Source organism: Homo sapiens, chromosome 7 (assembly GCF_000001405.40).
Source record: "Homo sapiens chromosome 7, GRCh38.p14 Primary Assembly".
NCBI lineage: Eukaryota > Metazoa > Chordata > Mammalia > Primates > Hominidae > Homo > Homo sapiens.
In genome coordinates this window covers 55413694-55426885 of record NC_000007.14, presented here as the reverse complement: position 1 = coordinate 55426885, position 13192 = coordinate 55413694, and the positions used below count along the sequence as shown (strand labels likewise).

The 13192-nt window shown below is 41.5% G+C and overlaps 1 protein-coding gene across 2 annotated transcripts in view; it reads right to left on the bottom strand.

Moving 5' to 3' along the window:
• LANCL2 (LanC like glutathione S-transferase 2) overlaps positions 1-13192 on the bottom strand; it is a 68401-nt gene that overhangs the window by 6852 nt on the left and 48357 nt on the right. For both annotated transcript variants that reach the window (NM_018697.4, XM_047420614.1), the window contains one exon: positions 1456-1632. In NM_018697.4, the coding sequence (NP_061167.1) occupies positions 1456-1632 (177 nt within the window). The remainder of the gene's footprint in view (positions 1-1455; positions 1633-13192) is intronic.

Sequence of the window (13192 nt, the reverse complement as noted above, 5' to 3'; positions counted from 1 at the left end):
ATCTACCATCATCACATCATCAAGGCTGGCCCAGGCCTGCGGAATCTGGCTGCTCCCCGCTCGCTGGCTCCTGTTTTGCCCCATCCCCCGTGCTCCAGCCACAGTGTAGTTCACACAGGCCCTGGGTGCTCACACCTCCGGGCCTTTGGAACAGCAGTTTCTTCTCCTTTTCACATCTTTCCTCATCCCCCTTTGCTTAATTTCGAGCTGTCCCTCAGGTCTTGGCTGAGACATCCCTTGCTGACCTGCTATGCCAAGTTGGGCCCTGCCCTCTTTGCTTCCACAGCCTCCTTCATGCTTCCATCAGTGGGGGAGCCACAGATGTGTGTGCATTTTCCAGTGCACCAACGAGGTAGGGCCCATTCCACTGGGGTTGAGAAGTCTTCAGAAAGTAATAGATGTTCAAAAAGTATAAAGAACATATCAGCCGCAATGCCTCCATCTAACAAGGGTCACTGTACACACTTTAGTGTATTTTCTTCCAATCTTTTTTCTGTGTGCACACAACTACATTTTGTGAAATGTGTACATAATAAAAATACTAGCAAACATTTACTGAGTCTTGCTCTATGCCATTCATCTTCACATGTCCAGTGCATGTTTACTGAGTTTCTACTCGGTGCTATGCACTGCTCCAAGTACTAGTGTAGAATAGTGACCCAGACAGACAAGATCAAGAAGCTTATGTTCTACCAGCCTACACACTCAAGAAACAAGCCAAAACATACAATGAGCAACTGAGTGATCATCCACTTGGGGGGTCTCAAAGATCCCTCCAAGAATGTCACAATTCAGATCAGCATGGCAAGGAGCTGAAGGAAGAGTGCTCCTGAAGGGAACAGTTAACGACAGGTCCAGCGGAAACAAGAGTGACACACTCCGTTCTTAGAGAGGGCAACATGGCTGTATTATGGCGGGCTAGAGGGCAGGGTAAGGCAAGGAGATCAGGCAGAGACACAGAGAGGGGCCAAGGTGCGCAGGGCTCTGTCAACTCAGCGGAGGAGCATAGGCTCCATCTGCAGTCAATGGGAAGCCGTGGAGGGTTTTGGCAGGACGATTACAAACAATCTGCACATTAGCTCAGTTCTGCTTGGAACATCCTTAGGAGGTGGGTAGTATTTTTTTTCTGTCTGTACAAATGAGGAAACTGAGGCTTGAAGAAGAGACATATCCAAACTCATAAAGCCAATAAATGGCACAGGTGGTAATTCTCATCACGTAGTGACTCCAGGACACATATTCTTCAGAAGCCATTGACATTTGTCCTCTCCATTCTACAGACAGGGACACTGTGGCCCAGAGAAACCACAGATAAGGCTGTGCCAGAAGAAAAAGAGGAAGCTACAGAACTGGGAGAAACAGGTTAAAAGAAGGAACAGGAGTTGTACTTCTGGACTCTGGATTCTGTGCACACTCGGGGTTGTTCAGAAGCAGTTCCAACAGAGCCACCCTCACCTTGCAAGCTCGGTAGAGGTACTTCTTATCCTGCGTGAGACGGTAAAGGGACAGGAAGGAATAGCCGTTGCCAGCAGTCCCATGGCATATCCCGTAGCCCTTCCGCAGCAAACCTCGCTGCCAAATCACATCGCTACACTCCATGGCCTCTTTCAAGTACTTCTCCTCCTTAAAGACCTGGGCAAATTAAAAACAAAGCAGTGTTAAAAAGACAGTTTCAACGATGAGTTGGCAAAATACTTTCCCTTTCTGGTTAGAATATGGCATGATATTAGGAAAACTGAAATGGCACTGGGGGTGAAAAACAGACAAACAAACAAAAAAACACCAGCAACACAGTACATAGAATCTCGCAATCTCAATCCATTAGCCCAGCGGTCTCCAACCTTTTTGGCACCAGTGACTGGTTTTGTGGAACCATTTTTCAATGGCCAGGAAGGTGAGTGGGGGATGGTTTCGGGATGAAACTGTTCCAGCTCAGATCATCAGGCATTAGTTAGATTCTCATAAGGAGCGCGCAACCTAGATCCCTCGCATAAGCAGTTCACGATACGGTTCGCTCTCCTGCGAGAATCTAATGTGGCCGCTGATCTGACAGGTGGCAGAGCTCAGACAGTAATGCAAGTGATGGGGAGCGACTGTAAATACAGTTGAAGCTTCGCTTGCTCGCTGCTGCTCACCTCCTGCTGTGCAGCCCAGTCCCTAACAGGCCACGGACCAGTACCAATTCACAGCCTGGGGGCTGGGGACCCCTGCATTAGCCTATTCCCCTTGTCCTCCTTCTGTTTCACGGTTTTACTAAAGTAATGCTAAAATTTAGTTTTTAAAATTAAAATTAAAGCTGCCATATCTTTTTGGTAAGATGTTTTCCTTGTTTCTTGGCACATACATCCCATAGCTCTAAAACTTCTGCTCTTGTAGAAGGCAATCGAGAGAGTGAGGCCCTGTTAGCAGGGCAAGAGTATCCAATACACTGATCAGTACACATCAACAGGACCTGAGGACCCTGCACCACCAGGCTAGGAAGATCCATCTTCACCCATCCCAAGGAAGCTGGCACAAAGCTTTCTGGGGTCCAGGAGCAAGCACCACCTCCCTGAGTTGTTTATATGGTCAGCTGCAGAGACAGGCAGGCTCAGTGAAGGCAAGAGACGGCAAGAAGCAGCTGTGGGTTTTCACTTCCTGAGATTCCCTTGTACATTTTCTTCTTTCTCCTCACAGGCCATGTACTGTTTTCCTGATCCTTTTCTCAGAGTCTGTTCTTAGTTATCCCTACCTGCTAAACTCATCACATTCCAGTGCAAATGGGTTTTGGACAATGAATCAGAGGCACAAAGGTCATCACTACTTGGGTGGCAGGTCAGGTCCCTCTACTTGTGACTGATGAGCTGGACACTCAGCCGAGAAGGGCTCTGAGGCCTCAGGAAAAAGGCGGAGGTTGGGGGGCAGGGCATGAGAACTGCGACCAGTGTCTACAGAGGGCACAGCGGGAAACAGAGGCACAGCAAATCACCAGGGAGATTAAATGTTCCCAAAGTTAGGCTGTTAGGGAATCAGACGCAGGACACCCTCTATCAGTCACAAAGGCTGCTAAGATGTGGGCTCTGGGGTCAGACAGCCTGAGCTGAGTCCCTACTGTCACCTTTTAACTGTGTGACCTTGGATAAGTCACTGAAAGTCTATGTCTTAGTTTTCTCAACTATAAAGGGATGACATTCCTTCACCTCAGTGGCTTGCTATGAAGATTAAAATGTGATCACATCCATGGAGCTCCTGGAACAGTGCCTGGCACATGGGAAGTGCTAGCTATTTCCTGGCTATGATTAACCATTACTCTTTCTACGGTATTGTGCCGGCACACACACTTCATCCTGTCACTTGCATCTTAAGCCTCTGAAAATGAACTGTAAAGGAAAACATGTTTTCCCATCCTAAGGAAATATTTGGTCAAAGCTAATGGGTGAGAAGATATTGTTTGAGAGGCTGTGTTCTGAAATCACACAGTGAGGCCAGCCCTAAAGTGAGCTGGAGCTGCCCCTGCTGGTGGAGCCTGGGTGAGTGATGGTCCACAGGGAAACTGAACAGGGTTCCTTCATGCCGTCCCTGCGCCTGCGAGGCTGAGGCTGCTAGAGCCATGCCCACAATGCAGCCTGCACTGCTGCTTCTCAGCACCAGCAGCCTACCATGCCCACTCCTGCCACCACATACACTCATGCTCTAAGCAAACAGCTACTTCTAACAGCGAGACATCCAAGAATTCAGAACTATAGAAAAAAGCTCCTGGACTTAATCACAGATACATCTTCTCCACATTGTATTACAGCAATCATACATGGGCTACAAAATCCATGTACTTATCCACATTACCTCCCCCAAATGGTAAGTTTCCCTGGGCAGTACAGGACAGAAAGTGTGAAAAGACAGCACAATGCAAAGGAAAACCCGAGGGCTCTGGAGTCAGAGGCAGGGCTAGAGTCCCTGTTCCACCGCACCCGACCTGGGCCTGTGCGCCCATGCTACAAAACAGATGGATCCCAAGATGACCCAAACGTCAGAAATAGGGACAAGGGTTTTAGGCAGTTACTAGAAATATCTTCAAAGATGAAAAGGGAACTATACTCATCATCAGTGAACCCTCAGAAGAGAAAGGGAGAATAAGACAGAAACAAAGGGATATTCTGGACCTAGAAAACATCAATAGGTAAAATTACAAAACTCACTGGGTGGGTTTAAGAGCAGGCTGGACATAACAGAAGAAATCATGAATGAATACAAAACCAGGGAAATAGCAATCATCTGATCCGAATTACAGAGAAGAACGAGAAATCTGGAAAACAAAAGCCTCAGGAACCTGTAGGAAAAGAGTGGCCAGTCACCCCAGTGTACTAAAAGATACACACTTACAAATTCAAGTTCAAAGGATCTTAAGCACGATAAATACAAATACATCTAGGCATGTAACAGTTAAACTATTGAAAACCCAAAATTAAGAGGAAACTGTGAAAGCCTCTAGAGAAAAAGCACATGTTCCATACAAGAGAATAGTGCAAAGAATGACCTTGAAAGAACAGAGGTGGACAACGACGGAACACTGCCTTTAAAGCACCGAAAAGAAAAAAAAGTCAACCCAGAATTCCACACCCAGCAAAACTGTATTTAAGAATAAAGGTGAAATAAAAACAAATTTAAGACAAATGAAAATCAATTTGTTGTCACTAAACCTATACTAAGTAAAATTCTACAGGATGAAAGAAATAATACCAGATAGAAATCAGGATCTTCAGGAAGAAACAAAGACCACTAAAAATGGGAAATACATAAATAAATATCAAAACTATCTTTTTTGCTTGTATCAATTCAAATAAAATATGCAGGTCTATTTAAAGCAAAATTTCTGGCCAGCCCCTATGGTAGTTCACACCTGTAATCCCAGCACTTTAGGAGGCTGAAGCAGAAGGATCACTTGAGCCCAGGAGTTCGAGACTAGCCTGGGCAACATAGTGAGGACCCTGTCTCTTCAAAAACAATTTTTTAAATTAAAAATAAAGCAAAAATTCTAACATTGTATTAGTGGTTTACAACATTCATAGATTTTATAAATATGGCAGATAGAGTGCAAAGCTCTGGAGGAAGCAGAACCACCTGCCTATGAGTTTCTTACAGTTTATGCGAAGTGGCTCAGTGTTAACTCTAAGGAGATTATGAAAAGCTAAGCATATATATTGCAACCCCTATAGCATTAGTAAAAAAAATACGCAAATAGATACAGTTAAAGAGTTAACACAGGCCCAGGCACGGTGGCGCTCACACCTGTAATCCCAGCACTTAGGGAGGCCGAGGCTGGCGGATTACCTGAGGTCAGGAGTTTGAGACCAGCCTGGCCAACACGGTGAAACCCTGTCTCTACTAAAAATACAAAAATTAGCCAGCTGGGCATGGTGGCACGTGCCTGTAGTCCCAGCTACTCAGGAGGCTGAGGCAGGAGAATTGCTTGAACCCAGGAGGCGGAGGTTGCAGTGAGCTGAGATTGCACCACTGCACTCCAGCCTGGGTGACAAAGCGACACTCCATCTCAAAAAAAAAAAAAAAAAGAGTCAACAGAAAAAAGAGAATCCTAAAAAATTTCCAACTAATCTCTCTACCTCCCTAAAAAAAAAAAAGGCAGGAAAGAAAAAGTAGAGGGAGGAAACACACAAAATGTAATTTTAAAAAATTTAAAATGGCAGAGCTGAATCCAACCACATCAATAATTACATTAAATATATATGAACTAATTCCAATTAAAACACTGAGATTATTAGACTAGCTATAACACAAGTCCCATACAGGTTGAAAGCAAAAAGATGTGTCATGCAAACAGTAATTACAAAATGCTGGAGCAGCTGCATTAATATCAGACAAAGTAGACTTCAAGATAAAGAATATTACCAGAGATAAAAGGAACATTCCATGATGATAAAAGAGTCAATTCATTAGGAAAACATAACCATCATAAACATGTATTAGAACAGAGCCTCAAAATACATGAAGCAAACACTAAGAAAATTAAAGAGAAGAAAATAAACAGTTGGGAGACTGTAAAACTCCTCCTCCCATGACTGAGTAAACAAACAGCCGAAACAAATATGTAAGGCAAATCTGTGAGGGTCAGCACACTACAAGCCCACACAGTCTGATCTGTAAACGAAGTTCCCTGGAGTGAGGTCATGATGGTTCATTCACACACTGGCTGTGGCTGCTTTTGTGCTACAATGATAGAACTGAGTGGTTGCAGAAACTGCATGGACCACAAGCCTAAAATATTTACTATCTGGGTCATTACAGGAAGTTCGCTGACCTCTGTAATTGAAGATCTGAACAATACATCCAACCATTGGCCTAACTGACATTTCTAGCACACTATGCCTGACAACTAGACCATTCAAACGCACGTGGGACATTCGTCAAGACAGACTAAATACTGGGCCATAAAATACATCTAAGTAAATTTTAAAATGTTAAATCGTACATAATATGTTCTGTAACAACAATGGAATTAAATCAGAAATCGATGAAAATATCCACACAATTCTCAAATATCTGAAAAACACACAACCCACTTCTAAATAACCCATGAATCAAAAGAGAAATCATAAGGGTAATTAGGGAATATCTAAAACTAAATGAAAATGAAAACAAGACATAAAATATTTGGGAACAGAGCTAAAATAGTGCTTAGAGGAAAATGTAAAGCTTTAAATGCCTGTATTAGAAAAAAAGAAAGGTACAAAACCTAAGATTCCACTTTAAAAAGTTAGAAAAGAGCAAAGTAAATCTAAAGTCCATAGAAAGAAATTTTATTTATTTTTTATTTTTTATGTTTTTTTTGAGACAGGGTCTGACTCTGTCACCTAGGCTAGAGTGCAGTGGCACCACCATGCCCAGATAATTTTGGATTTTTTGTAGAGATGAGGTCTCACTATGTTGCCCAGGTTGGTCTTGAACTTGTGGCCTCAAGCTATCCTCCACCTTGGCCTCCAAAAGTGCTGGAATTATAGAAGTGAGCCACTGGGCCCAGAACCATAGAAGGAAGTTTTAAAAAGAAAAGAAGAAAAATCAATGAAATAGAAAATAGATAAAGCTACAATTTATGTTTATTTCTTTGAAAGAGCAATACAACTTTGACACAGCTGCTATCTAGACTGATGAGAGAGAGAAAACATAAATTACTAATATCAAGAATAAAAGAGAGGCCAGAGTGGTGGCTCACACCTGTAATCCCAGCACTTTGGGAGGCCGAAGCAGGCGGATCACCTGAGGTCAGGAGTTCGAGACCAGCCTGGCCTACATGGTGAAATCCTGTCTCTACTAAAAACACAAAAATTAGTCAGGCGTGGTACCTCGTGTCTGTAATCGCGACTACATGGAAGGCTGCAGCAGGAGAATTGCCTGAACCCGGGAGGCGGAGGTTGCAGTGAGCCAAGATCGTGCCACTGCACTCCAGCCTGGGAGAAACAGCAAGATTCTATCTCCAAAAAAAAAAAAAAAAAAGGAAAAGAACAAAAGAGAAACTATCACTTCAGACCTTACTAAACATTAAAAAAAAGAGGTATGAATAACATTATGCCAATAAATTTGACAACTTAGATAAAATGAGAAAACATATTGAAAAACACAATTAACAAAACTGATGCAAAATGATTCTATTAATGAAATTGAATTCATAATAAAAAATTTTCCCACAAACATTTAAGCAAGTAATAACACCAATTGTACACAAAATCTTTCTGAAAATAAGAGAAAACACTTTCCAACTCATGTACGTGACCAGCATAATCCTGATACCTGATTCCTAATAAAAACAAAGATTTTATAGAAAAAGAAAATATGTACTAAGAAACATAAAAATCTTTAACAAAATATTAGCAGACCAAATGTAGCAATATTAATAAAAAGAAAAGGATAAAAATCATGCCCAAGTGAGGTTTATACTAGGAATGCAAGGTTGACTCAACTTTTAAAAACCAATCAATGTAAAATCACCATATTAATAAAACAAAAGAGGAAAACCATAGGAGCGTTTGAATAAATCCAGGAAAAAAAAATGACAAAATTCAACATCCCTTCATGATAACCAGTAATAAAAGGAAACTTCTTCAATCTGATAAAAGCCATCTAAGAAAAACAGTTAAAAGTATATTTGATGGGGAAATATTTAATATTTTTTTCTATGATTGTGAATAAAGCAAAGATGTCCACTCTGACCACTTCTATTCAATATTATACTATAGCTCCTAACCAATGTAATAAAAGAGGTAAAGGAAATAAAAGGCACAGAGGTTGGAAAGGAAGAAGAAAACTCACAGATACAATATGTGTACACAGAAAATCCTAAGTAATGTATAAAAAGCTACCAGAACTGATACGTGAATTTAGCACAGAATATAAAGTCAATATACAAAAAGCAGCTGTGGCCAGTTACAGTGGCTCAAGCCTGTAATCCCAGCACTTTGGGAGGCCGAGGTGGGTAGAACCCTTGAACTTGGGAGTTTGAGACCAGCCTGGTCAATATGGCGAAACCCCATCTCTACAAAAAAATACAAAAATTAGCCAGGCATGGTGGTGCACACCTGTAATCCCAGCTACTCAGCTAAGTCAGGAGGATATCTTGAGCCTGGGGAGGTAGAGGCTGCAGTGAGCCGTGATCACACCACTGCACTTCAGCCTGGGTAACAGAGTGAGACTCTATGTCTCCAAAAAAAAAAACGCAATTGTATTTCTATATACTGGCAATACATAATTGGAAAATGTAAATAAATAACATATCTAGGAATAAATTTAACAGAAGATGTGTTAAGACCTGTAGAGCAAAAACTATAAAGCACTATTGACAGAAATTAAAGAAAATATAAATGGAGAGATATACCACATTTGCGAGCAGAAGGACTCAACATTATTAAGATGTCAGTTCTGGCCAGGCACAGTGGCTCATGCCTGTAATCCTAGCACTTTGGGAGGCCAAGGCGGGCAGATCACTTGAGCTCAGGAGTTTGAGACCAGCCTGGCGAACATGGTGAAACCCCCGTCTCTACTAAAAATACAAAAACTAGCCGGGTATGGTGGTGGGCACCTGTAATCCCAGCTACTCAGGAGGCTGAGGCAGGAGAATTGCTTGAACCTGGGAGGCGGAGGTTGCAGTGAGCCAAGATCACACCTACTCCAGCCTGGGCGACCAAGCAAGACTCCATCTCAAAAAAAAAGATGTCAGTTAGTTCTACCCAAGTGGATCTAGAGATTCAATGATTCAATGCACTCTGACTCATAACTCCAATAGGCTCCATTTTTAGAAGCTGACAAATGGACTCTAAAACTTATATGAAAATACAAAGGACTTGGAATATTCAAAGTGATTCTGAAAAAGAACAAAGTGAGGTCTTAAGTTACCTGATCTCAAAACTTACAATAAATGCAGAATAAGAAAAACAACGTGGTAATATCATGTAGGTAAACAGGCCAAAGTAACTGAATAGAGTCCAGAAACAGACCCAGGCTTATTAGGTCATTTGATTTTTGATAGAGGAACCAAAATCAATCAAATGGGAAAAATAAATGTCTTTTCCACAAAAGGTATGGGAACAATCAGATATCCCTATGGTTAAAAAAAAACACCTCAGGCTGGGCACGGTGGCTCACGCCTGTAATCCCAGCACTTTGGGAGGCCGAGGCGGGCAGATCATGAGGTTAGGAGATAGAGACCATCCCGGCTAACACGGTGAAACCCCATCTCTACTAAAAATACAAAAAATTAGCCAGGCGTGGTGACGGGCGCCTGTAGTCCCAGCTACTCGGGAGGCTGAAGCAGGACAATGGTGTGAACCTGGGAGGCGGAGCTTGTAGTGAGCAGAGATCGTGCCACTGCACTCCAGCCTGGGCGACAGAGTGAGACTCTGTCTCCAAAAAAAAAAAAAAAAAAAAAAAAAAACCACCTCGTTTGTTACCTCATGTAATATACAAAACTTAATTTGAGATAAATCACAGGCCTAAAGGTAAAATCTAAAACAATAAAGATTAAAGGAGAGTATTATCTATATAACCTGAGGGTAGATAAGGTTTCTTAGACAAAACACAGACAGTAATTATCATAAAAAGAAAACATTGAAAAATAGATTTTATCAAAATTTAAAACTCTATTAGTCAAAAGATACCATAAAGAATATGATTAGGCAAACTACAGACAGGGAGAAATTATTTGTACGATATATATCTGACAGAGGGACTTTAACCAGAACATATAAAGAATTCTTTCAAAAATAGCAAAAAGACAAAAATAAAATAAAATAAAACAATGTAGGTAAAACACACGAAGAGACAGGCTGGGCACAGTGGCTCACACCTATAATTCCAGCACTTTGGGAGACCAAGACAGGAAGATTGCTTGAGTCCACGAGTTCGAAACCAGCCTGGGCAAAAAACAAGACCCCTACAAAAATAAAAAGATTTAGCCAGGTGTGGTGGCACGTGCCTGTAGTCCCCAGCTACTTGGAAGGTTGAAGTGGGAGGATCACCTGAGCCCTGAAGGTCGAGGCTACAGTGAGCCAAGATCCACCACTGCACTCCAGCCTGGGTGACAGTGCAAGACCCTGTCTCAAAAAATAATAATAATAAGAAGAAGATATGAAGAGACAGTCAACAAAGGAAGATACACAATTGGCCCATGAGCACATGCAACATTAATCAACCCTGGTCAATCAGGAAGATACAAATAAAACCACAATGAAATACCCACCAAAATAATTAAAATTAAAAAGACTTTCAACATCAAGTGTTGGCAGATGCAGAACAACCAGAACTTGTGGAAAAAGTGGCAATTTCTAAAACTAAACATACACCTACCCTCCGATCCAGTAATTCTACTCCTAGATATTAACCCAAAAGAAATGAAGACATGTGTCTCTAGACAGACCTGTGCAAGAATGTTCATAGCAGCTTGTTCCTAATAGCCAAAACCTGGAAACCGATGAAAAACAATGATAAACTGGCCGGACACAGTGGCTCATGCCCGTAATCCCAGCAGTTTTGGAGGCCAAGGCAGGCAGATCACCTAAGGTCAGGAGTTCAAGACTAGCCTGGGCAACATGGTGAAACCCCGTCTCTACTAAAAATACAAAAAATTAGCCAGGCATGGTGACGTGTGCCTGTAATCCCAGCTACTTGGGAGGCTAACACACAAGAACCACCTGAACCCAGGAGGCAAAGGTTGTAGTGAGCCAAAACTGCGCCACTGCACACTCCAGCCTGGGAGACAGAGCGACACTGTGTCTCAAAAAAAAGAAAGAAAAACAATGATAAACTATGGTACATTTATTTAAGTGATGCTTAAAATTAAGAAGGTATCAGAATCTTGAGTAAGGAGGAAAAAAAGTATAGCTTAAAAAAACTTTTCAAGTAATTCTGATACCCCTAGAAAAACATTCCATGTTTCAAATAATCAACTTGCAAACAAGCTTCGGGAACAGAATTTGTATGAAAGCATTTTCTGACATATATACAATAGTTGGCCACCAGGGGGCACTCCCAATGCAGTTCTCTCTGGGGCTTCCCAGGGCAGGCGTGTGGGCACAAGCAGTGATGCTGTGGCTGCTGCCAGATTCAGTTCAGCATCTAAGGACTGCACTCGTGTCACCCTGGTGGGGGTATTATATGCTTTTTTTGGACATTGCATTTACCTTTCCAAATACAATCTCATTTAACAAATGTATTTGTTTACAGTGGCTAAACCCACACAAATTCCTAATGCCCTAGAACTCAAAACGTGAATAGAAGGAAGAATTTGCCACCATTACCCATGATTTTTTGTCAGATGTAATTTGTTAGAAAATCATTCACAATTAATAAAATTCCTAATACAATGTAGAATATTGTTAAAACCTTGCCTTTTTCTTTTCTTTTCTTTTTTTTTTTTTTTTTTGAGGTAGGGTCTTGCTGTGTCACCCAGGCTGGAGTGCAGTGGCATGATCATAGCTCACTGCAACCTCCGCCTCCCAGGCTCAAACCATCCTTCCACCTCAGCCTCCTAGGTACCTGGGACTACAGGTGCGTGCCACCACACCCAGATAATTTTTGTATTTTTTTTTAGTAGAGACATGGTTTTGCCATGTTGCCCAGGCTGATCTCCAACTCCTGGGCTCAAGCAACCCTCCTGCCTTGGCCTCCCAAAGTGCTGGGATTACAGGTGTGAGCCACAGTGTCTGGCCAAACCTTTACATTTTAAGGCCATCTAAAATACCACATAACTTTAAATTAACAAGTAATACACGTTCCTACACAGAAGAGTATATACCCTACTAAATACTAACACATGATGAGCATCTACAGGGAGGGAAAATAAATTTTGTGAGTCTGGACTGAACTTACAGTTTTCTTTGTAAAGGATAATTAATAATATTTTTTCAAGTACTTGAACACTTTACACCTTCATAAGCATGCCTGAACAACTTAGGACTTCATATGCCAGGAGAAGAAAATGTTAGAGCTTGTTATTACATAAAACTTGAACATTTCCTACCTAATTTTAAGAGACAGCTTTAATAAATGGAGGCCCTCTCAACTTAACTGTAACTTGAGAGAAAACAGTGTAGAGCTGTACTTCCCTAGTTTTGCCTCCCCCACTGAACCCCCTGCCTTGGTCAAACACAAACCTCGCCCTCTGCTCAGAGACGCAAACAGATGTGCAGACTCCACGGCGCAGGGTCTGTTTCTCCGCTGGCAGAGAGCTTTAGTCTACACTTATTTTCTGTAGTTTATACTATGAAGAAGATGTATTTTTACCCCCAATTCTAAGACCATATTACATATGCTTTTTCCTTTTTAAATTTTTCATTGATATATAATAATTGTACATATTTATGGGTGCATGTGATATACATGCATACAATGTGTAATGATGTATTCAGGATGTCCATTACCTTGAACATTTATCATTTATTTATGCTGGGAACATTTCAAATCTTCTCTTCTAGCTATTTTGAAATACAAAATATATATGCTTTTTCAAATTACCACTGATGCCTTCCTACCCCCAGAAGATTCTGATATTCCTCCTCGTTCCTCATGTTCAAGAATCTTAATGTAGAGGACAGAATTAAGTTTTAAAGACTAAGTATGGGATCTTGACATCTTTGGCTCTATGCTTTCTGGAGGAGAGAAATTTGTTTTGGAACCAGCAGGGCAAAGCAAGGTGTCTGAATGGTATTCTATG